This window comes from Homo sapiens, chromosome 3, assembly GCF_000001405.40.
Source record: "Homo sapiens chromosome 3, GRCh38.p14 Primary Assembly".
In the NCBI taxonomy this organism is placed as follows: Eukaryota; Metazoa; Chordata; class Mammalia; order Primates; family Hominidae; genus Homo; species Homo sapiens.
In genome coordinates, this window is record NC_000003.12 from 65,765,116 (window position 1) to 65,790,291 (window position 25,176).

Consider the following 25,176-nt stretch of genomic DNA (forward strand, 5'->3'; position numbering starts at 1 on the left):
ACATGGTGTCCTCAGTGCTACAGAATTTATCTAACATTATCTGACTTGCCTGTTCCCATTAAAAGTATAACATATGTGATCAACTGTTGTAGAATAAAAACATTTGGCAAAGACAATGAATCCTACTTATAGGTCTGGTTTTGGGAATGAACCTTTACCAAAGGAGGGGAAAGGCTACTGATCCCATGATCCCATAACAGGATTGCCACTAAGCACTTTTTTATTTGAGGTAAGGCCAAGCATTTGGTTGTGGCACTGGCGGGACAACTATAAAGAAACCAATGTTCCACTGCTTATTAAGCTCCAGAGTCTCATTAATGCCCTTTACAAACTTAGGAGAGGTGTACTACTCTACCTTACATAATAAAGAAAATTGAATTTTAAAACATTGAAGTCATTTATCCAAAGTCGTTTAGCTAGAGAGTTGGAAGAGTCAGGATTCGGGCCCAGGACAACCTAATACCAGATACATGAGGCTGTGGTGCCTTTCCTCTAACCTTAAGTTGCTTTGAGAAGTTTGAGCTCCTGCTCTTTAGAAATATTCAACCAGAGGCTGTATGGCCTTTTGGAATTAATTTTGTAAAGAACTTAATCACTGGCTGGGGAATGCTAGTGATTCCTTCCCCATGAAATCTACTGATATTTCCATTATATGAGTCAATGGACAGTCTTCAACATGGGTTGCCATTTTCGGATTTCTCTGTCTTTCTCAATCTTGCTTCTAAGCAAGGCAATGATTCTTCCTATACAAAAGTCACTTTCTGCAATATCTGCCTAAATTTTTAAAACATTTGTGAACCCTGGTAGTGTCACCAAAACATCTGCTGACCTAACTAAATAATTTCATCTGATCATCCCAGCCTCGGTCCCATCTGTGGCTTTCTTCTCCCTGCTTATTAAGTTGAGATGAGTAGGCAGGACTAAAGTATCCCTAACATTTTCCTGCTTGTTTATTTAACAGCTATGGATATTTACATTTGCCTTCCTAACATATTTGGTATTAATTAAAACTCACAGATTTAGCACAGCTCTTTCTATATATAAGGCACAAGTCAACAAACTAATCTTCAAAAAAACTTCATTTGGGTAAAGTGGGGGATACCTTCTTCAACTCAGAAATCGGGAGTTTAATAAGCTAAGGCTACATTCAATGTAGTATGTTATATAGAACAAGGGAGAAGGAGTCCCAATTCCTGGCCTGGTGGACAACAGCTAGAATATACCCAAGCTATTGTGATTCTTTCCGGGTACCATATTTTAGGAGGAACATAAACTAGATTGTTTCCAAAGAGGATGTGGATAATAGAAATTCGAAACTACGTTGCAAGGGATTGTACAGCTATTCTCCATGTTGGTCAGGCTGGTCTCAAACTCTTGACCTCAGGTGATCCGCTTGCTTAGGCCTCCGAAAGTGCTGGGATTACAGGCATGAGCCACGGCCCTTGGCCGCAAGAATTATCTTAATCACAGTCATTATTATAACAGAATAAGAGGCTGGGTGCGGTGGCTCACGCCTGTAATCCCAACACTTTGGGAGGTCAAGGCAGGTAGATCACTTGAGGTCATGAGTTTGAGACTAGCCTGGCCAATCTGGTGAAACCCTGTCTCTACTAAAAATAAAAAATTAGCCAGGTGTGATGGCAGGCACCTGTAATCTCAGCTACTCAGGAGGCTGAGGCAGGAGAATCGCTTAAACCTGGGAGGCAGAGGTTGCAGTGAGCCGAGATCACACCACCGCACTCCAGCCTGGGTGACAGAGCGAGACTCCATCTCAAATAGTAATAATAACAACAGAATAAGAGAAAGCACACTAGCCTGAGGATAAAAGATGCTTGGGTTCTAGTCCGAATTTGGTTGGTAACAAACTACCGTCTTGGGCAGGTCATATTGCCCTCTCTGAGTTTCCATTTCTCTCTCTTTTTTCTTACATAAGTGCATGGTCTAGATTAGGTAGCAGGAATGACAGAATCATGACACGCAAAATCAATCTGCACACATGTTCTGTCTGGCTAGCATGAACTCTCCAGATCATCAAGTCTGCCTCTCTATTTATCAATAATCACCTATTCACACATTTAACTTACCTGCCTGACCCAAGCAAGAGTGTTATCCCCCAAGTTCTATTATATTTCTTACAGATCTAAAATTATATATAGTATCTCTTTCTGACTCACCCACAGTTTAGTTTTTTTTTTAATAAAGACTTTAGGCCAGGGCAGTGGCTCATGCCTGTAATCCCAGCACTTTGGGAGGCCACATTAGGTAGATCATTAGAGGCCAGGAGTTCGAGACCAGCCTGGCCAACATGGTGAAATCTCGTTTCTACTAAAAACACAGAAAAGAAAAAAGAAAAATAAATAAATAAATAAAGACTTTACTCAAAGCATTTTCAAAATTCCTGTCATCCTAAATTGGAGAATAGTTTTATAGTATTTAGAAAGCTCAAAGACATTCATCCTTCCCTCAAGAAAGAACTTCCCCTAAATGAAGCTCTGACAATTGTTACATGAAATTTACGTTAGGAGGCCATTGTTATGGACTGATCTCCTGCACTAGGCCCCAACAGAACAGACCAAACCAAAATGGGGTTACTCATGCTAAGGTTCCATTCACCAAAACAAAATGAAAGTGTCTAAGCTTAGGAGAAATGACAAAAAAGATGACAGCCAAATCCTCAGGCAGTTCTAGCTGGCATGAAAGGGAAATCACCTCTGCTTTAACCCTTACAGGAAAAGCAATCTGATGTAGCTTAATGTAAACCAAGCCACTTTTTGTATTATGCAATTTCATTGTTCCTGGCTTAAGCTATCATATAAAAACTGACCATTCTGCATGCCCAATGGAGTGCCTTTTCTAAATCTTTGGATGTCATGCTCTCCAATTCATGAATTGCTACTAAAAGCAAATAAGATCTTTAAACTTAATTTGTTGAAATTTTGTGTTTTAACACAACCAAAATAGGCAAGCATTCTATTCCTACTGGCAACCCTTTACACAAGTTGCTTAAAAAATTACTTAAGCAGGCTGGGTGTGGTGGCTCATGCCTGTAATCCCAGCACTTTGGGAGGCTGAGGCAGGCAGATCACTTGAGGTTAGGAGTTCTAGACCAGCCTGGCCAACTTGACAAAACCTCGTCTCTACTAAAAATACAAAAATTAGCCAGGTATGGTGGTGCCCACCTGTAGTCCCAAATACTCAGGGGGCTGAGGCAGGAGAATTACTTGAACCCGGAAGGCAGAGGTTGCAGTGAGCCAAGATCACGCCACTGGACTCCAACCTACGTGACAGAGCAAGATTCAATCTCAAAAAAAAAAAGAAATTACTTAAGGATACTGGTGCCACCATATTAAATTCAAGAAGTGGTAAAGCAAAGGTTGCTTGTCTCAGTCAAGTTTTTTCTTCATTGTTTGGCTTCACTAAAGTACCAAAAATAAGACTATTGAAATCAAATAGCAGAAAGTTAGAATGCTTTCTAAAAAACTAATCACTCCTGCAAGGCTCACATAATAACAGCCAGCTATGGGTAGAATGACTTTATTCACATCTATTAATAAATGGCAAAGATGAAATGCAGCAGTGGAGGCTCAGATTTTTCCAGTTGTGGTAGAACACACAGGAGTCCCAGTTTGAACCTTCCTACAATTTAATTTTTAATATCTCTGCTTTAGAAAATACTACAGTGGCATTACTTTAAAGAAATCATTATCTTTTAGAAAATGTGAAAAATGTGTTTAAGAAGATAAAAACTGCTCCGTACAGAGAATAATATTTTCCCCTTTAAACTCCAGGGACAAAGCAAATTTTCCAGTGTCATTTTACTGTAGCCCACCAGGATTTTGACAAAGCAAACCTAGTGCTAAGAAACTCCTTGAAACTTGAAACCAGCAAAGAGCCTCTTGGTAACTTAAATAGATGAATTTCAATTTTAAAGCCACTGGGCCTGAAAAAAAAGAAATGCCTTTTTAAAAAAATTGCAAAATTTGAACTCAATATTGGCTTTCTTACTGAAGAAAATAATAGGAAAATATTCTTTAAAAGTTGTCGATCTGTTTTTTTCTGATGACAAAAATAAATAATGAGTAGACAAAACCAAATGATTACTTAGGTATATAATCCTCATATATGCATATAATGGGGTTTTTACTTGGTTTTCTTTTGATCTTTTTATAAAAATGAGCTCACATTGCACATGCACTTTGAACTTCCTACTGAAAGTTCATAAGCGTAGTAGAGCATGATGTTGTGTACCTGTAGTCCCACCTATTCAGGAGGCTGAGGCAGGAAGATCATTTGAGACCAGGAGTTTTAGGCTGCAGTAAGCTATGATCGCACCACTGCACTCCAGTCTGGGCAAGAGAGCAAGACTCTAAGAAAAAAATATAAAATAAATAAAAATAAAGTTCATCAATATCACACAAAGCCTCCTAGAAATAAACAGTCCCAGGCCCCATCCAGGTACAAGCTGCAATTTCACAGCATTTCAAGGTGATGGACATGCAATTGAAAAATGAAGAAGCCATAGCCGGGAAGATACTTTATGGAGCACCATTCCCTATTTGACTTTGATGATAAGATGTAGATGTTGATAACACGTGTCTCTGGACACCAAGGAAGATAAGTGTCTACCTGGGTTTAAAAATGTGCCTACTATCTCTATGTAACAGTGCCTGTTAAAAGCAAAAAAGGTGAGAAGGCATCTTCAAGTTCAGGTTTTCGGATAGAAGGTGGCTGGAAAGAGCTTTCCTTTGTTGCATCACTTCCCCAGTAAAGTAGCTTGAATAACCATCAGTGAGATAGCCTCTCCTGTCAAAACCTCCAACTAAAGTCACAGTATCCAACAGGGCCCTTGGGCAAAGATGTTCACTTTCAAAATTCACCATGAGGAGATTTACGTGCCATCTGGGAGGATTGCTATCTTGGGCCCATGATGCTATTACTGCTCTCATGAACCTTATTACTGAGAGGACAAGAAAGGTGAGAGAGGCAGAAGAAGACACATCACTGGCAAAAACTGCTCTGTCTGCTTACCATGAGTTTATTTTAGACTCCTGCCTGCGGAAATACAACCAGTGTGTCAAGGCCTATGTGGCCATTCAGCATTTCCCAGAGACTCTATGACTTCTCCTAGTTCCAAAGACTGTCTCATAGAAAACTAACATCAGAATTCCCACTTTTTTCATCAAAATTGGTCAAGCACTAATTATTAAAAGTATGAAAAATGCTACCATATGTTCATCTTTTAGTTGCCTTCTAGGTACCGTAGGGCATTGGTGATTTAAGCTCCCATCCATCCTGCCACGTGCAGGAAGAAACTGACACGAGGAAACCCACTGGCCAGCTCTTGTTCTGATAATGTCCAGCAACCCTTAATAGGGGCAAGGTACTCTACATGCCTCAGTTTACTCTTGTGTAAATGATACCTGTGTGCCTCAAGTGTTTCTCAAAGTATGACTCACAAACCATGAGAGCTGAGGGACAGGTATGAAAGATGCTTTTAATAGGTAATGTGAGCATTAGAAAAATATTAGATGTTTGCATATAGGCGTATCCTTTTTTAGTAAATTATTATTCATTTATTTACTTATTTATTTTGAAGTGGAGTCTCGCTCTGTCACCAGGCTGGAGTGCAGTGGCACAATCTCAGCTCACTGCAACCTCTGACTCCCTGGTTCAAGCTATTCTCCTGCCTCAGCCTCCCAAGTAGCTGGGACTACAGGCATGTGCCACAATGCCTAGCTAATTTGTTTTTCTATTTTTAGTAGAGACGGGGTTTTCCCATGTTGGCCAGGATGGTCTTGATCTCCTAACCTCGTGATCCACCCACCTCGGCCTCCCAAAGTGCTGGGATTACAAACGCAAGCCACTACGCCCAGCAAATTATTTTATTTTTAAAGAAGATTACTGGGCAGGGTGTGGTATTACAGATTACACCTGTAATCCCAGCGCTTTGGGAGGCCAAGGCGGGCAGATCACCTGAGGCCAGGAGTTCGAGACCAGCCTGGCCAACATAGCGAAACCCCGTCTCTATTAAAAACACAAAAATTAGCCAGGCATGGTGGCATGCACCTGTAGTCCCAGCTACTCAGGAGGCTAAGGCAGAAGAATCGCTTGAACCCAGGAGGCAGAGGTTGCAGTGAGCCGAGATTGCACCACTGCACTCCAGCCTGGGTGACAGACAGTGAATCTGTCTCAATGTCTCAAAAAAAAAAAAAGAAGACGATTACTCAGCAAATATCAGCTCAGATAGTAGGTGAATATGAGGTGGAAAGTCCTAAAGGTGTTTCTTAATTATTTCAGGTAGTATAGCACCATGGGCAAGTGAGTATCTCTTTACAGAACACAGGGAAACATAGAGATATTTTATTTCATCATAAATAAAGAAAATTTTATAACTGTGTAATATAAAAGCACAACCACAGTTTACATGTCTGCAATTTGTTTAAAACTAGCTATCAAAATAAGGTATAACCAGCCTTCTCCAAATGTGATTAATAGTTATTTGCTATTTAGCTTATAATGTTTTATGTTCTGCTAGCATTAGAAAGCAAATAAGCTAGTCAGCACAAAAAATTTTGAAACCTTTAATAAAAAACAAAATCTAATGGATTTAATTTTATTCAATAAGCCTCATCATTATTTGACTCTCCTTCAGCCTAACCCAGGAATCCCCAGTGCTGTATGGAGCATGCTATGAGAAGCAGGGACTAGTTGGAGTCTGAAGTCCATTCTATGAGGCTAGATCATGTAAGACCTTAATTTATGGTTTGACTATTTTAAAAGAATACTGTGGCATCTTTTATAACCTGGCCAGGCGCGGTGGCTCACGCCTATAATCCCAGCACTTTGGGAGGCCGAGGCGGGTGGATCACAAGGTCAGGAGTTCAAGACAAGCCCGGCCAAGATGGTGAAACCCTGTCTCTACTAAAAATACAAAAATTTGCCAGACTTGGTGGTGGGTGCCTGTAATCCCAGGGAGAGGGTGAGGCAGGAGAATCGTTTGAACCTGGGAGGCGGAGGTTGCAGTGAACTGAGATCATGCCACTGCACTCCAGCTTGAGCGACAGAGCAAGACTCCGTCTCAAGAAAAAGAAAAAGAAAAAAAAGACAACAATATAACCTATTAGGCCCAATCCCTTCCTTGTAGGGGCCAATTTCCTCTTTCCTCATCAAAACAGAGACTTTATGAACCTGTGTCTCCCTGTTAACATTGTCAGACCATAGAGAAAAGCCATTCCTTCTTTGTCTCTTCTGCACTGATTCAGGGGGGACTTGAGTACAGCTGTCCATCATGAGACCCTGGCTTTTTCACCACAGGAGTGGGCATGGGACCTGGGATGGCCAATCACCACCAATGTAGGCAAAAGACCTAACTGAGCCAACTGAGTTCTCTGCAGAGAATGATCATGGTGCTACAAGGGAGGGACACCTCTTTCCCTGGGATCAGCAGCCATAAGAAGGAAGTAGGCCAGGAGCTGCCACATGGAGAACACTTCGTGAGAGTGAAGCAAACACAGAGGAAGCAAACAGGGAGCAGAGAAAAGGAAAACGAGACAGCATAAGGATAAGCTTCATAAATCAGGAAGCTAACAAACTTCAGGCTCACTGAGGGCAGTATTGCAGGTAAATGAGTCTAAGTTTGGGACAAGACATGTTTCCAGGGACCTGGTTTTACGACCCAGTTCCTGATTACTGCACAGGCTGATGAGAATTTCTTGCATTTACAAATGACAGAAAAGATGCACAGAAAGCAATTAACAGCATGTGAATTTAAGGAGGGGAAGCAATGGGAGGAGGCAAGAATTGAAAGACTACCAGATGAAAGTTACCAGGAAGCACAGAGGTCATGAGGTCTGCAGAACTGGGTGAAGATACAGACTCCACCTCACACCAGCGTCCTCTTTGATCTACCACGGACCAGTTTCCTCATCTGGTAAATGGCAAAAAAACTCTACCTGCCTGGCAGGACTGTTGTAAGAAATAAATGAAATCATATATGTAAAGTATTCATAAAAGTACCTGACAGAGTAGAAAAAGAGCTCTCAAGTTCTCACCAACCCTGAATCACTATGATGTAGGAGTAATATATTAAAACAACAGCCAACACCCCCAAAAGATTAACAACCTTAAGAGTAGGGGGTCGGGCACCATGGCTCACACCTGTAATCCAAGCACTTTGGAAAGCTGAGGCAGGAAGATCACTTGAGCCCAGGAGTTCAAGACTGGTCTAGTCAACACAGTGAAACCTCATCTCCATAAAAAATTAAAAAATTAGTCAGGCATGGCAGTGCATGCCTGTAGTCCCAGCTACTCAGGTGGCTGAGGCAGGAAGATCACTTGAGCCTGGGAGGTGGAGTTTGCAGTGAGCTATGATGGGGCCACTGCACTCCAGCCTATGCAACAGAGCAAGACACTGTCTCAAAAAAAAGACAAAAAAGAGTGGGGGTGGGATCACTGGTAGGTAAACTCAGAATACACTAGCATAAGGTCTATCCATATCACTCGGATTGTCTGGCTGTGATGCTAATGTATATGCCTTGGAATTCTAAGTTACAGTCTCCTTGTTTATCATCTGGAAGTTCACAAGCCTACCTTCTGGAGAACATGGTGAATTCAGAAGGAAAATGTAACTGTACTCTAATTTGCTTTCTTTGTGTCTCAGACTGCCTTGATTCGAGTGTTTATGCCTTAATCATACTTGAGTCTTTCATTTTAATGACTTTTTTAATTCGATATAAAGATTAAAATTTTTATATCTCATTGTGTTTTCCTTTTAATACAAGTTACTTGTGGTTGCTGAACAAGGTACAAATTAGAACAATTTCTTCCCGGGAACGATATGAAGGAAACTTCACAGGAAGAGAAAAAAATTCCAAAGGATAAACAGGTTTATTACAGAAATTACACACTACAGATTCCCATAATGCTAACCATCCCAGTAACTAAGTGGCACATGGGCATCTGTTTCCATAGCCCCAGATCCACTGGCTAGTTAAAAAAAAAAAAAAATTAATTGCTAACAATAAGGTTTTGTTCTAACATTGGGTGAAACTTTTCCTGGTTATGAGTTTCTATAACTGACATATAATTCCGGCTAAACCAAAATTCTGTTTTACACAAGCAAAGAAGTCCTGAGCAGGGTGAAATGGTAGTTATCATCTTTGATGTTACTGTCAAAGGCGTGGAAGATACTTATCTTAATACCACTGTTGTCTCCACCATCTTCCTGTGATGTTTTTCACCCATGAATTTATTGAAAATGTATTTGAAATGAGCAAAAATTGTGTCCTGTATCCCTCTTGGATAATTAGTTTCTGAAGTCCATGTTTGTTATATATTCAAAATCTTCCTGGGGCAAAATTCTCCTTATTTTGAATGTCCAGGTTTTGGTGGAAAAGAATTCATAATAAGTGCTTTCATACTTTCCTTATAATCCTGTTGGCTTGTGTCCCCTAAAAACTCAGAGTCTACCAAGCTTTTGTTCACATAGTTTATGGATATACTGTGCACCCATTCTTAACCCTGACATTTCACATCTGCTTGCCTAAGAGAAATGGCATACACAAAATGTTTTCCTATTTGGTGATGAACAAGTACATGGAACATATAGATCACAAGTGATTTTTAAGTAAGAGGAAAACAAGAAATTCAACCAAAGAGCCAACTAGTACTGGGCCTATGTTCTGTGCCTAACAAGGGGTTCTAAGATACACTAACTCGCCTTAGGCAATAGGGAGAAGATTTTGATTTCTGTCTTCACTATTGATAGCTACATGAGTCAATTACTTAGCCTTTCTAAGCTTCAGTTATAAAGTTAGGATAAAAATGTTGTCAACATCATGGGATAGTAGTGAAACAAGACAATGTATATGAATTTCATAGTACCCAGCATACAATAAGAGCTCAATAAATATTGGCTATTTTTATTATCATCATCATTCTTATCAACCCAAAGAGCCACATGAATGTAACCTACAGACTGATTGATCTCAAATGCATTTTTTTAATTCTAAAATTTCTGAAATCCTATGAATATAACAAAGTATTTTCAGGCTGGGCGTGGTGACTCCCACCTGTAATCCCAGCACTTTCTGAGGCCAAGACAGATAGATTCCTTGAGTCCAGGAGTTTCAGACCAGCCTGGGCAACATGGCAAAACCCCATCTCAACAAAAAAATACAAAAAAATTTGCCAGGCATTGTCATACATGCCTGTAGTATCAGCTACTTGGGAGACTGAGGCAGGAGTATCATTTGAGCCTAGGACTTGGAGGTTCCAGTAAGCCTAGATTGTGCCATTGCACTCCAGCCTGGGCAACAGAGTGAGACCTTCTCTGGAAAAAAAAAAAAAATTTTTTTAAGTGTTTTTTTCTCTTCTCACCCACTCTGCCAAAAAAAAAAAAAAAAAAAAAAAAAAGCATCTTAAAGAAAACATAGTCCATTATGTGAATGGATATGCAGACAAAAAATGTGCAGTTACATACACCAAAGTATTAACTATGATTATGAAAGGTGATACTATATAGTTCTTTTTAACAGTGGTTTCTGGTCAAACACAGTAGCCCACACCTGTAATCCCAGCATTTTCAGAGGCGGAGGTGGGCGGGTTGCTTGAGCCCCAGGAGTTCAAGACCAGCCTGGGAAACATGGCAAAACCATGTCTCTACCAAAAATATAAAAAATTAGCTGGACATGGTGGCACATGCCTGTAGTCCCAGCTATGCAATGGCTGAAGTGGGAGGATCACCTGAACCTGGGAAGCTGAGGCTGCACTGAGCCATGATCACATCACTGCACTTCAGCCTCAGTCACAGAGTGAGACCCTGTCTTTAAAAAAAAAAAAAAAAGTTTCTAATTATTCTTTGATGAATTTAAATTATTTGCAAAACAAAAACATTAAACAAACATTTTTGCCATAAATCCCGTACTTACTTAGTGTGCCCCAAATCTAGTCAAATAAATTACTATAAGAATTTTTTGTTGTCCTTCCTACTTAGTTTGCAATTTTTGCCACTCCTTTTGAAATAGCTCATCCTCCTGTCTTCTACATAGGTGGTGCAGAAAGTATTTTAAAAATCAATGTAGCATTCTTTACTACTTGCTATATGAAACACTACTGGCATATAGTTGGGTTTCTTTTTTTTTTTTTTTATGGCTTCTGAATGTTTTACATTCCATTAATTAAATCCTACTCTCAATTGTTTTTTTAAAAAGGCCACACAAATATTAATGTCAAAAAAAAGTGATTAGGTAAGAGAATGGAAGATATATTTCCAAAAATTTTTCAAAGCCTCTGAGTCCCAGGAAACACAATTTTTAAAAATGGTAACCCTTATTTAAACACATAATAAAAAGAGATCTTGTCAAATATATTAAATTATAAATTGGACATCAGTTTTGTACAGGCTGATTTCTAAACTGTAATAGAACACATCTGGGGTGATTTTCTGGCTCTCCTCGAATATCTGGTTTTCCAGGCAGCTGCAGGAAATCTCTGGGTAGACATACCACTACAATAATTAATGCCAGCTTTCAGGCATCCCAATGAAAAAGAATTCATGACAGCAACAGAAAACGGTACTCCCCCCGCAACACACACACAGAATAACCACGAATTTAATGTAAAACATGAATCCACAGGCCTCCAGCCTGGAGCAGCTGAAAGACATTTGTGTGATTTGTGTGATTCATGAACAAAGAGTCATTCGATCTCTTCCATCAGACTTTTCTGCATCTCAGCCACTTTTGTTTCTATCCATCGCTGGCTGCTTCATTCATACCCTGGTTATGTCTGCACTGAACAGGGCTCCCTATTTCTATTATACTACAGGTTCCAACAAGGAACCTTCTTCTACCCTCTCCTTGCTTTCATCTTTCATCTCCCTGAAGGGCACTGGGGCCTAGCACAGCACCTGGAACATAGCAGATGCCCAACCAAGGCTGTGGGTAGATGGACTGTAGGGTAAGTGAGCATGTGCAAGGATAAAGAATGTATGAACAAAACGCAAACAGTGAAAACTCAAAGACTTTCTGGATTCTAAAATTATATTTATTAAGGGAAATATTCGACTTTTGAGAAGCAAACATACAGATAATGTGCTCACTAGCTGTGTGACCTCAGAGAAGTTCCTTAGCCTCTCTGGGCTTCAGTTTTCTCATCTATAAAATTGAGACCCTAACAGTGCCTAATCAAGTGGTTGCTGTGAGGGTTAAATTAGTCACCATTTGTGATGTACTTAGACGAATGACTGGAAAATACTATGTGTCAAGAAAAAAAGTAAGTACTGACAAATAAATATCAGGTTCATTATCACCATTTTACTAAAATAAAGGGACTATATTTGGCATAAATACCAAATGGACTTGAAAACCGTGCTCATGGCAAAGTGCGGTTGCTTACACCTGTAATTCCAGCACTTTGGGAGGCCAAGGTGGGAGGATCACTTGAGCCTGGGAGGTTGAGGCTGCAGTGAGCCATGATTGTTGTGCCACTGCACTCCAGCCTGGGCAACAGAGTGAGACTCTTATCACAAAAAAAAAAAAAAAAGAAAGAAAGAAAGAAAAAGAAAAGGGAAAAGAAAAATATGTTCGGTCTCCTAAAAGATAGAAAACAAATGTATATAGCTGGTTTCAAATCCCACCTATTTGACTGCAGTGCTGTGTAATTTCTGGACCTCCGTGTGAACAATTTGTAAATGGAATTATCATAGTTCCCATTGCATACGTTTTCTGTGAAAGATTAAATTAAATTATATAAAAAATTTAGCAAGAAAACTGGCATGCAGTAAACAATCAATAATCCTAACTAACACTACTATAGTTCTATTAGAGAGTGTGGTAAATCATGATTAAATAGGTATGCATAATAATTCATATGGTGGGCATCATTTATTCAGACATCAAATACTTAATGAGTACATACATCATATTAGGCCATTTTAGATACTGTATTCTTTAAAGCCCCACAACAGCCATGTGATACACAGTTTACAGCACTAACTTAATGAAGAAAATATTAATTTAAAAAGAAAAGTTCGGCCAGGTGCAGTGACTCACGCCTGTAATCCCAGCACTTTGGGGGGCCAAGGCTGGCGGATCACCTGAGGTAAGGAGTTCAAGATCAGGCTGGCCAACATGGTGAAACTTTGTCTCTACTGAAAATACAAAAATTAGCTGGGCATGGTGGCGGGTGCCTGTAATCCCAGCTTCTTGGGAGGCTGAGGCAGGAGAATCGCTTGAACCCAGGAGGCAGAGGTTGCAGTGGGCCAAGATAGTGCCATTGCATTCCAGCCTGGGCAACAAGAGTGAAACTCTGTCTCAAAAAAAAAAAAAATAAATAAATAAGTCTTTTGAGAAATGCAGGAAGGGTTCAAAGGGAAGATAACATTTGTTGAATATCCAGCACATTCCAAGCCCCATATAGTGCCCTTTACATATGCAATCTGTGTCCTCACTCCACACCCAGAAGATGGGGACCATGACTTCAATTGCACAGGTGAGGAAACAGCAGTTAAGCAACTTGCCAGGACCACTCAGGTCAAAGAGCCACAGTTCAAACTTAGACCTACCTGGCTTTTGACTCTAGATTTCTGCCCAACTTCTTAATATTTGCCAAACAGAAAAATACTAAGATGACTGAAGCCAGTCAAAATGTGTCTTCACTTTTAATGACTTTTAAAAAGACAACTCGCATCTTGGATCAAGTTCCTATTAATAATTTTCCAAAGATTCCAATATACTCCAGAGGTCCTCAACCAGGGACAGTTATACCCCCCAGGGGACATTTGGGGATGTCCAGAGACATTAATGGTTATCACAATTAGGAAGGTGCTAGTGTCATCTAGGGGTCGAGACCAGGGATACTGCTAAATAACTTGCAACACACAGAACAGCTGCCTGCTCCCAAACCCCAGACAATGAATTATCCAGTCCAAAATGTCACCAGTGCATAGGAAAAGAAACCCTGTAGCAACCCACAAAATGAAAATTTTTTGACTTTCCAAAAGTTGTACTTTGCTTAGTCATGCTCTAGAATTCCACAGGAATAACCACTTAGCCTCACTCATTTTTTTTCTTCACTATTAAGTTTACGCTTCAGTACACATTACTGCCAGTATGACCTCTTCCATCACACCCAGGGCTCTGGCAGCGTTAATGTGAGTGGCCCTCTTCTCCATGTAAATGTGCACAAATAGAATATTCTGGTCTCAAGAGAACACAAGCAAGTCCCAAATTTGCTTCTGGAAGGGCTCAGCCCAAGGTAAGAAGGGCCGGGAGGGGACTATATCAGATGCCATACACTAAAGCACTCAACTTTTTTCCAAAAATAATTCATCTTCAACCCAGCAATGCAGTTTTCTTTGCCTGTGTGTTCTTGCATAAGGAACTGTGAGATGATTTAAAAAGCAAACTTTAGAAAGGTAAAGTTGAATCTCAGAACTTTCTAAGACCAAGAATTGCACAATCGCTTGACAGATTTATCCCCTAATTTGATAGCCTCTGCCCCTTCCCAGAAAAACTCAACTAAAGATTTATAAGTCTACTTAGATGAAAAGTTCTCCTGTGGCAACACAAGGCTTCTTTTAAAGTAACAGTCTAATAGTCTAATGAATTTTATTCGCACCATGGAGAGAAAGATCTTGATTCCTTAAGGTCTCCAAAAAAGATCTATCTTTGGAAAGTGACGAGTATGCTGTTAAGCAAAAGCAGTAGCAAGTAACTCTAACCTTTTTCTTACCAGCTAGTTCCTGTTATCGATTACATGTGATGGGAACATTTACTATCATGAAAATAACAGCACTAACAAAGAAAAAAAAATGACACTTGTAACACAGTCCTTAGTTTCCTAACACATTTGACAAACTTGAAAAGGGGGTGGTCCTGAGATCTGAGAACATGCTATCAATTTTTTGGGGGGGGAAGGGCAGGGGGGACATCATCTCACTCTGTGGCCCAGGCTGGAGTGGACTGGTGCAATTACGGCTCACTGCAGCCTGGACATTGTGGGCTCAGGTGATCCTCCCACCTCAGCCTTCTAAGTAGCTGTGGACTACAAGTATGCACCACCAGCCCTGGCTAATTTTTGTACTTTTTGTAGTGACTGTGTTTTGCCATGTTGCCCAGGCTGGTCTCAAACTCCCAGGCTCAAGTGATCCCCCCGCTTCAATCTCCCAAAGTGCTGGGATTACAGGAGTGACACATCACGCCCAGCCTATGCTGTCATCTTAAGATATACTGATTAATTTCAGTCAATGCTTAATTCTGAAATTACCAACTTGGCCTAAATACTTGCAAAAGCACTGAAGAAGATTTAAAGCAAAAGTTCTATAACCACAGTACTAAGGAGATTCAAACGACTAACAATGAGGTCCAAAACTATTGAGAGAAGAGCCCTGGAGAGCTAACTTGCATATGTATTCACAGAAAGTCTCAATACTCAAACTCAATATTACACAGGGTCAGAAATGGTTAACAGCTGACTTAAAGTTTCCTCTTTGAGTGAAGAATCCATTTTTGAAAAAAAATTTTAACATTAAAAATAAATCATTACTTTGATCCAACAGATGAATAAGCCCCCTATACAGTTTATGCTCATTTGCAGACTTGATTATAAAAAACGTAGGAAAATTAAGGAAGGATGGCCACCACATTATCAACCATGGGTTACAGAAGGGGGTTGATGAGAAGGAAAAGAATCTAGCCCACATGGGGCAGAAGAAGGGATTTGCACTGCTTATGGTATACTATGTAAGGGCCATGACTACGGGTGATTTTTCTGTTTTATGTTTCACTACTTTGCATATTGTATTTTTTAAAAGTTTGGATGGGCTGGGCATGGTGGCTCACGCCTATAATCCTAGCACATTGGGAGGCCAAGGCAGGCAGACCAGTCTGGCCAACATAGTGAAACCCCATCTCTACTAAAAATATAAAACTTAGCCAGGCGTTGTGGCTCATGCCTGTAATTCCAACTACCCAGGAGGCTGAGGCAGGAGAATTGCTGGAATCTGGGAGGCGGAGGCTGCAGAGAGCCAAGATCATGCCACTGCACTCCAGCCTGAGTGACAGATCAAGATTCTGTCTCAAAAAAAAAAAGAACAAAATTTAAAAGTTAAAAGTTCGGATGGAAAACAGAATAGTACCTGCACACAGAGCCTTCCCAAACAGATACTGACACAATACAAGATATCTGACAGCATTCATTGAGTATACTTACATGTGCTAGGCAGTAGTTGCTAATGGCTCCATTTGATCATCTGAACATTTGATTGTTTCATCTTCGCAAATGCCTATCTACCTTGATCAGGAAATGGATAGATTTTTTTTTAAGTTCCGGAGTACATGTGCAGGATGTACAGGTTTGTTATATATAAACACGTACGTGGTGGTTTGCTGCATGGAATAGGTTTTTTAAAACTAAATACAGTAGTGGTTTGTTTCACAGAAATAGATTCATTTAAAAAATTATTATACAAATTATATAGCAACTGCCGCTTTTCAAAGACCAAAGATATAATGAAATTGACTTGACATTAAACTCGTATTATAGATAATTCAGTTTTCATCTCATGGCTGAGAGGCCATTACAAGATCCTAAATAGCTTCTGGCCAATAATGGCAACATCTATAATAATAACAGCTACCACGGAAGAGATTTGCTAAAGGTTTCTACTGATTCTCTCATTAATCTCCATCACCCTGACTCTGCAACTACGCAAACACAGAGAGTACAGGCAGCTTTCCTGAAGTCAGTCAGTGGAAGTCTGAACCATCTGACTGGGGAACCCCCCCTCACTATAAACCTAAGATTGTTCTGTAAAAACAGACTCGCTGGTAAACAGAGGGGTCTCCTGAGCAGATTGGTAGATTTCACTTTCCCATATATTCTGGGGGATGGCATGCATTTCATGTCCATTTATCACATGTCCCAAGTCTAGAGACCCTAACTATCAAAGGGAAACACTTGTCAATCACAGATTGTAGAAATTATCATTAGTAAGCATAATAGGCAGAATAATCACCCCAAAGATATCCCCATCCTGCTTCCCAGAACCTGTGACTATGTTACATGACAAAGGGGAATTAAGGTCACTAATTATGGTGACCTTTAAATAGGATTATCTGGGTGGGCCCAATATAATCATAAGCATCTGTAAAAGATAAGACTGTAGATGAATGGCACAGAAGGATACAACGTTGCTAGCAGGCTTTGAAGATGGAGGAAAGGAATGTCCTTAGGTTGGAAAAGTCAAGGAAACAGATTCTCCCATAAAGCCTTAGGAAGGGAACACAGCCCTGTGACAACTTGGTTTTAGCCCAGCATCACCAGTCAGAACTGTAAGATAATAAGTACATGTGTGTTAAGGCACTCACTTTGTGAAAAAGTGTTACAGCAGCAAATAAGAAACTAATACAGGAAGTAACTACTGAGTTATTGTTCCTAACCCTTCTGGACCAAAGGAGAATAAAAACTATTTTTTAAAGTATATGGATTTCTTAAGCAAAAAAAAAAAAAAAAAAAAAAAAAAAGTTAGATGAAAGGTTCATTTTTCAACACTGTAGCTTAGGTATAAACATAATATACTGAAGGACTCTGTTTAGTCAAGTTGATTTGTTTTCAGGTGTAATACCTACAACAGTTAACATCTACTGAGCTTTTAATATGTTTGCAATATAAGTGTTATCTTATTAAGTCCTCACAACCTTTGAGCCAGACACTATTAGTACTGGGCCATCTGTGAAAAGTCATTTCACAGATCAGAAGCCTAAATGTAAGAGCTAAATTATTAAACTCTTAAAAAAAAAAAAAGAGAAAAATCAATTTCATGACCTTGAGTTAAGCAATGGTTTCTTAGATATAATCCCAAAGCACCTTTAAAAACAAAACAACAACAACAAAAAAAAGAAGAAAAAAGAGAAGTTGGATGACATCAAAATGAAAAACTTTGGTGTTGCAAACAACACCATCAAGAAAGTGAAAAGGCAACCTACTGGGGGAAATATTTACAAATCACATATCTAATAAGTGTCCAGTGTGCAGAATGTATTAAAAAAAAACAACTCTTACAATTCAACAACAAAAAGAAAGAATAGGACAAATATTTTAACAGATATTTCTTTAAAGAAGGCATACAAGGGACCAATAAGCTCAGAAGCACATGCTCAGCATCATTACACAATAGTGAAATGTAAATCAAAACCACAAGACACCGCTTCACACCCACTAGGATGGCTACAATCAAAAAGGCAAAATAAGGCAAGGCACAGGGGCTCACGCCTGTAATCCGAACACTTTGAGAGGGCAGGTGGGAGGATTGTTTGAGGCCAGGAGATCAAGACAAGCCTGGACAACATAATGAGACTCTGTCTCCAGAAAGAAAAAAAAAAAATTTGTCTTGAGACAGGGTCTCACTCTGTCACCACCCAGGCTGGAGTGCAGTGGCACGATCAGAGCTCACTGCAGCCTCAATCTCCTTGGCTCAAGCAATCCTCCCACCTCAGCCTCCCCGAGTGGCTGGGACTTCAGGCGTGCATCACCATGCCCAGCTAATTTTTTTTGTATTTTCAGTAGTGATGGGGTTTTGCCACGTTGCCCAGGCTGGCCTCAAACTCCACGGCTCAAGCAATCTGCCCACCTCAGCCTCTCAAAGTGCTGAGATTACAGGTGTGAGCCACCACACCCAGCCTGTACCAAAAAAAAAAAAAAAAATTAATTTTAAAAAAAGTGCAGGCCAGGTGTGGTGGCCCTTGCCTGTAATCCCAGCACTTTGGGAGGCCGAGGCAGATGGACCACCTGAGGTCAGGAGTTCGAGACCAGCCTGACCAACACAGTGAAACCCCATCTCTACTAAAAATACAAAAATTAGCTGAGCATCGTGGCAGGCACCTGTAATCCCAGCTACTCAGGAGGCTGAGGCAGGAGAATCCCTTGAACCTGGGAGGTGGAGGTTGCAGTGACCTGAGATTGTGCCATTGCACTCCAGCCTGGGCAACAGAGTGAGACTCCATCTCAAAAAAAAAAGGTGCAATAACAAGGAGTAATGAGCACACAGAGAAATTGGAACCCTCATCATTGCTGGTAGGAATGCAAAATAGTACAGCCACTTTGGAAAACAGTCTGGGAGTTCTTCAAAAAGCTAAACATGGAGTTACCACATTCCTAGGAGCAATCCCACTCTAGGTATGCATACAAGAGAAATGAAAACATATGTCCACACAGAAACTAGTACGTGGATATTCATAGCAGTATTACTCATAAGAGGTCAAAAAGTGGAAACAACCCAGATGCCTATCAACTGATGACTGGATAAAAAACATGTGGTAGGGCCAGGAGCGTTGGCTCACGCCTGTAATCCCAGCACTTTGGGAGGCCGAGGCAGGCGAATCACGAGGTCAGGAGATGAAGATCACGGTGAAACCCTGTCTCTACTAAAAATACAAAAAATTAGCTGGGCGCGGTGACGGGCGCCTGTAGTCCCAGCTACTCGGGAGGCTGAGGCAGGAGAATGGCGTGAACCAAGAAGGCGGAGCTTGCAGTGAGCCGAGATCGCGCCACTGCACTCCAGCCTGGGCGACAGAGCGAGACTCCGTCTCAACAACAACAACAACAACAACAAAAAGAAAAGAAAAAAAAAAATGTGGTATAGTCAAACCACGGAATAATATTTGGGAAGAAGAAATGAAGCACTGATGCATGCTACAACATGGATGAATCCTGAAACAAGATAAGGTGGAGTAGCACATCACAAAAGACCACATACTTTACAATGCCCTTTAGATGAAATGTCCAGAATAGGCAAATCTGTAAGAGATTTGTGGCTACCTAGGGCTTGAGAGGGTGGCGGTGGAGGGCAGAGAAGGAAATGACTACTAATGGATATAGGATTCCTTTTGGAGAGGGCAGAAATGTTCTAAAATTAGATTATACTGATAGTCGCACACGCTGTGTATCTATTAAAAATACTAAATTGTACATGTTACATGAATAAATTGTATGACATATTAGTTATATCTCAATACCGCTATTTAAAATGTGATTTAACTTCTGTATCCCATATGTATTCATGAGTTACTTACTAAGTAATTTTTATTTAAGGAAGTAGGTGTTTTAAGAAGTATTTGTAGGAGAAGCATATATAACCACAAGAGGGCGCTTTCCTCACAGCTACAGAAAACCGAGTGTCTAACATACAGGGGTCCTATTTACCAATTTGATTTCATTCTTCCCCCTTTTCTTGGACGGAATGAGGTATTAGTATGTTTCATACAACACATTAAAGACAATAGTGTCACCAAGGTTGGTGACAGGTTGAAAAATCATGACTTATACACAGATAAAAAGTAAATGTTTAAAATTAAACTTCAGTAACAGAAACTACGGATAATGTTGCACTGCATTCATTTCCTTCACTTCTTGTCATACAAGAGGTTATACAAACTTATTTGTTTAGGATAAAATTCAGTGAGATAATATAAATCATCACAGGAAATGAAACATGTTATAAATACGTGGTCTCTGGTTCTCTGTTCTATCTCTAGCACCTGGAACCATGTCTAGCATAATTGGCACTCCATAAATATTTATTAAATGAATGAGATAAATGAATGAATGAGTGAAATCAACATTTCTTAAATTTCAGAAAAAATTTCACCTACCTTGGAGACTACATCAAAATATTTCTTTTCACCCATACCAAACATCACAATCATTTCACTGAATAACTATCTCTGAAACAAGTTCACAGAGACATTGTGTGAAATCAAGTGTAATTTTTTAGGCCATGAATCCTTCCCGACCTCCCCCTTATTCCTGCTGTCATCTTAACTTTTTTTTTTTTTTTCTTGAAACGGAGTCTCGCTCTGTCACTCAGGCTGGAGTGCAGTGGTGCAATCAGGGCTCACTGCAACCTCTGCTCACTGCTGCAACCTCTGCCTCCTGGATTCAAGTGATTCTCCTGCCTCAGCCTCCCGAGTAGCTGGGATTATAGACGCCTACCATCACACCCGGCTAATTTTTATATTTTTAGTAGAGATGGGATTTCGCCTTGTTGGCCAGGCTGGTCTCGAACTTCTAACCTCAGGTGATCTGGCCACCTTTTCCTCCCAAAGTGCTGGGATTACCACGCCCAGCCAATCATAACTTTTTTTTTTTTTTTTTTTGCCTTGAAATCAACAACTCTGAATTACTTCCAGTTTGCATTCTGTGTATTGAGACCCACACCAAACTGAAGTGTCACCCAGGCTGGCATGCAATGACATGATCACAGCTCACTGCAGCCTCAACCTCCTAGTCTCAAGTGATCCTCCCACCTCGGCTTCCCAAGCAGCTGGGTCTACAGGCATGCGCCACCACACCCAGCTAACTTACTGTATTTTTTGTAGAGACAGGGTTTCCCCATGTTGCCTGGTCTTGAACTCCTGGGCTTAAGCAATCCTACCACCTCAGCCTCCAAGAGTGCTGGGATTACTAGCATGAGACACCACGCCTGGCCCAAGAATTTTTTTTTTTTTTTTTTTCTTAAACAGAGTCTTGCTTTGTCACCCAGGCTGGAGTGCAGTGGCACGATCTCCGCTCACTGCAAGCTCTGCCTCCCGGGTTCACGCCATTCTCCTGCCTCAGCCTCCCTAGTAGCTGGGACTACAGGCGCCCGCCACCACGCCTGGCTAATTTTGTTTTTGTATTTTTAGTAGAGACGGGATTTCACCGTGTTAGCCAGGATGTTCTCGATTTCCTGACCTCGTGATCCGCCCGCCTCGGCCTCCCAAAGTACTGGGATTACAGGTGTGAGCCACCGCGCAAGACCCCAAGAATCTTTTAATGCTGACCAACACATCTCTCTCATTGTGTTACCTTTTGTATTCCTACTTAATGTTTTTCCATCAATGCACCTCTTACTAAGCCACAAGCACACAACATTTCATTAGAGGAAACCAGATTCTTCTCCTATCTCATGTTTCAAGGGGTCTGACATCAGACTAATTTATGGAACAACAATAAAACTGCCCCTATTTCCTCCCCAGAAGCCACATTCAGTTACAAAAACTTTTACTCTAAGCTCAGTCACAACAAAAGTTAGGCATGGAAAGGCAATCTCTGAAAGGTTTTTCATTTGGGATGTGATGAATGGGTGAAGGATGAGCTTTTACAGACACAGGGCCCGGTCATCTTTAAGACACCTCGAGTTTATAAGCCACTGGAGCATTTTCATAGCAACATAGTATAAAAGAAACCGGATCACCAAATGATAAACTCAACTTGAAAAGTCTTCCTCTGCCGTTTTTTTAGTGAACAGTCTACTGTCAAAACAAAGATGTTATGTTTAGTCGGTTCTAGGCAGCCCAGAAACTTTAAATAGAATGCCAAAACACATTGTGTTTGAGTGACAAGGGAACTAACTCTCACACATCATTCACTCATATTCCTCAAAATTACTCCGTGTAACTGAGGGCTATACTAGATGCTGGAAATATAACAGCAAGCAGGGCACATTCCCTGCCCTCTGGGACTGCACCGCCTGGTAGGCCAGATGGACAAATAAATGAGCAATAATAAAACAGAGTAGACTGTCAGGGACAAGTTCATGGTGTTATGGGAACACAGGGGTTGAACATCTAATTAGCCTTGGGTGGTTAAAAATAACTATAAATGGATATGATAACACCGCTGAATGTTAGGAGCCGTTAAAATATGGGGAGAAAGGCATATTTCTCAGAAAATAATAGCCTGTGCCAAGGACTGAAGACATGATAGCTCAGCAAGTTCAAGAAGTAAGAGAGAGCTCAGGATGGTTGAAACCAAGCATGGAAAGTGACGGGGTTAAGAAAGTAAGCATGAGCCAATCAAGAAAAAAGTTTATTTAGTCTTGATCCTTAGGGAGTCATCCCTGCAATGGCCTGCAAAGTTACAGGTTGCATTTTTCCTCTTCCCCCACTTTTACTAGACCTTTCTAGGTTTCCTTGAGGTCAAACCAGAAGTCTCAGAAGTAATTAACATAAATTGAAACTCAACTGTGCCCAAGTAAACTCACATAAAACAATGATGAAAAAATCTCCAAAAGCCCATGAGGGCAGGACTAGCAAGTCACACATATGTTACAAGTGCTTGAAGGTTTTTCGAATGTTTTTCAAATGCAGTTTGTCCTGGGAATCACACAATGATCCCACACGCTTTCTCATCCCAATCTTACAAATAATAATTTTTATTTAAAGGAGAATGGACTAGCCAAGGTCTTGAACTCAGGAACAGAACTCTGGTCTAATTCCAAACATCATTTACTTGCCACCATAACAGCTGCTTCCTTCTGGAAGCCAGTGGCTAGTATGTACCTACATTATGACCACTTTCCCCTATGCATTTTAGATTATTCATTTCAAGCTATTCTAGGGAACTGCTCTTGCAGTTCTATGCCCAAGTTCAATCCTAACACACCCCATCACCAGCTGCGTTGCAGAGGTCTGCTCACAGTTCAAAGTTTGGCTTGCACTCAAGACCCTCTGTGGCAATAAAATCATCTCTACGGTAGCTCACTCTAAATTACTTCCAGTTTGCATTCTGTTTATTGTGACCCACACCAAACTGAAGTGTCTCAGAAAGCATTAAATAAATCAGTGTTCAGAGAAATGAGGCAGCCTCAAAGGAAAATAATATTAGCTCAATACTAGCCATAAATCAACCATTATGTGTGGGAGTTGCTCAGTGAAAACACAAGGAAAATTTAGAGAAGTTTATTTATTCCCAAAGCCCCAAGCTCACACAACAAACAAAAAATTAAAAATAAATAATGAGGCCAGGTATGGTGACTTTTGCCTATAATCCCAGTGTTTTGGGAGGCCAATCCAGGAGAATCCGTTGCGGCCAGGAGTTCAAGACCAGCCTGAGCAACATAGTGAGACCCCATCTCTACAAAAAAAATGTAAAACATTAGCCAGGCTTGGCGACACCCACCCGTAGTCCCAGTTACTGAGGAGGCTAAGGCGGGAGGATTGCTGGGGCCTAGGAGGTGGAGGCTATAGTGAGCTATGATCGCACCACTGCACTCCAGCCTGGGTGGGAGTAAAACTCTATCTCTAAAAAAATAACAAACAAATGATAATAAATAAATAATGACCAAAATGTCCAGTCAGTGGGGAAGAAAGGAAAGCAAGTACATAAAGTAGTAAGATAGTGCCACCAGTCCTGTGGTATTCTTCCCACCCCCACCACTCCCAAAGGATGCTTAACGTTCCCCAGTCAAGAGCTCCTCTAGGCTGTAATAAAAGCCCTTGAAAATCATACCGGGGTGGCCAAGAGAATGGCATAGACCCTGAAATCTCCCCACTACATTCTACAGTTCCAGGACAAGGAACATTTTGCTTGGCTATAAGGCCCCTCAGTTCCAAACATTACTGAGTATCATTTAATCCTTTAGCCAATTCCCATTTTACACTTGAGGCAGATGATCACCAGAGAAGTTAGGTAAGTTAAAGTTAATTGGCCAGTCTAAGGAAAATTCAGAAATAAAATCCAAGTCTCTGAGCCCAAACTTACTGAGCCACTTTAAGTATTAAAGGACAGAACCGAAGCACGTAAAGTGGCTGATTTAGCCGGGATCTCCCTCGCCCACGGCCCTATGGCTGCAATTAGGGACCTAAAACTGATGAGCACTAGGTGGGGTTTATGGAGGACTCCCTAGAAAAAAACAAAACAAAAACAGAAACAAAAAAAGTTTCCTTTTCAAAAGTCCTTGAGCAATATGCAATCTCAATAATTTGGACAAATTTTCCTGTCTTTGTTCTGTTTTCCACAAAAAGGAAGCATTCTGCACACAAACAAAAATCTCATAGTCCATGAGATAAAGCTCTTGCCCAGAGTGCTCAGGATCAGAAACATTATAAGCAGAATCAGTAATGATTATTAACGTATTAAATGTATTGCATGTCTTTTACTTCAAAACTTACAGACCTAACTAAAGATGTCTAACAGAAAGATTTTCTTTTTAAAAAGCCAACAACTACTTGGGAAGAAAACTAGTTGTATATGTGCTTAACAGGCTAGGCAAGTTTACGCTTACCCCGATTTCACGAAATAAACCCAACGTTTAAAAGCCAAGATGCAATACTTAAAATTAAAAAGAACTATAAGACCACTGGCCCATAGTGAGAAAAAAGGAAAATAAAAGATAAAACGATTTGTTTGACCTTC

At 40.5% G+C, this 25,176-nt stretch overlaps 1 protein-coding gene and 1 long non-coding RNA gene across 7 annotated transcripts in view; both read right to left on the reverse strand.

Moving 5' to 3' along the window:
• Positions 1-17,497, reverse strand: part of LOC107986018 (uncharacterized) — a 63,442-nt gene extending 45,945 nt beyond the window's left edge. The window contains exon 1 of the long non-coding RNA XR_001740441.2: positions 16,213-17,497. This is a non-coding gene — a long non-coding RNA (uncharacterized LOC107986018). The remainder of the gene's footprint in view (positions 1-16,212) is intronic.
• Positions 1-25,176, reverse strand: part of MAGI1 (membrane associated guanylate kinase, WW and PDZ domain containing 1) — a 685,393-nt gene that overhangs the window by 411,590 nt on the left and 248,627 nt on the right. The window lies entirely within an intron of this gene.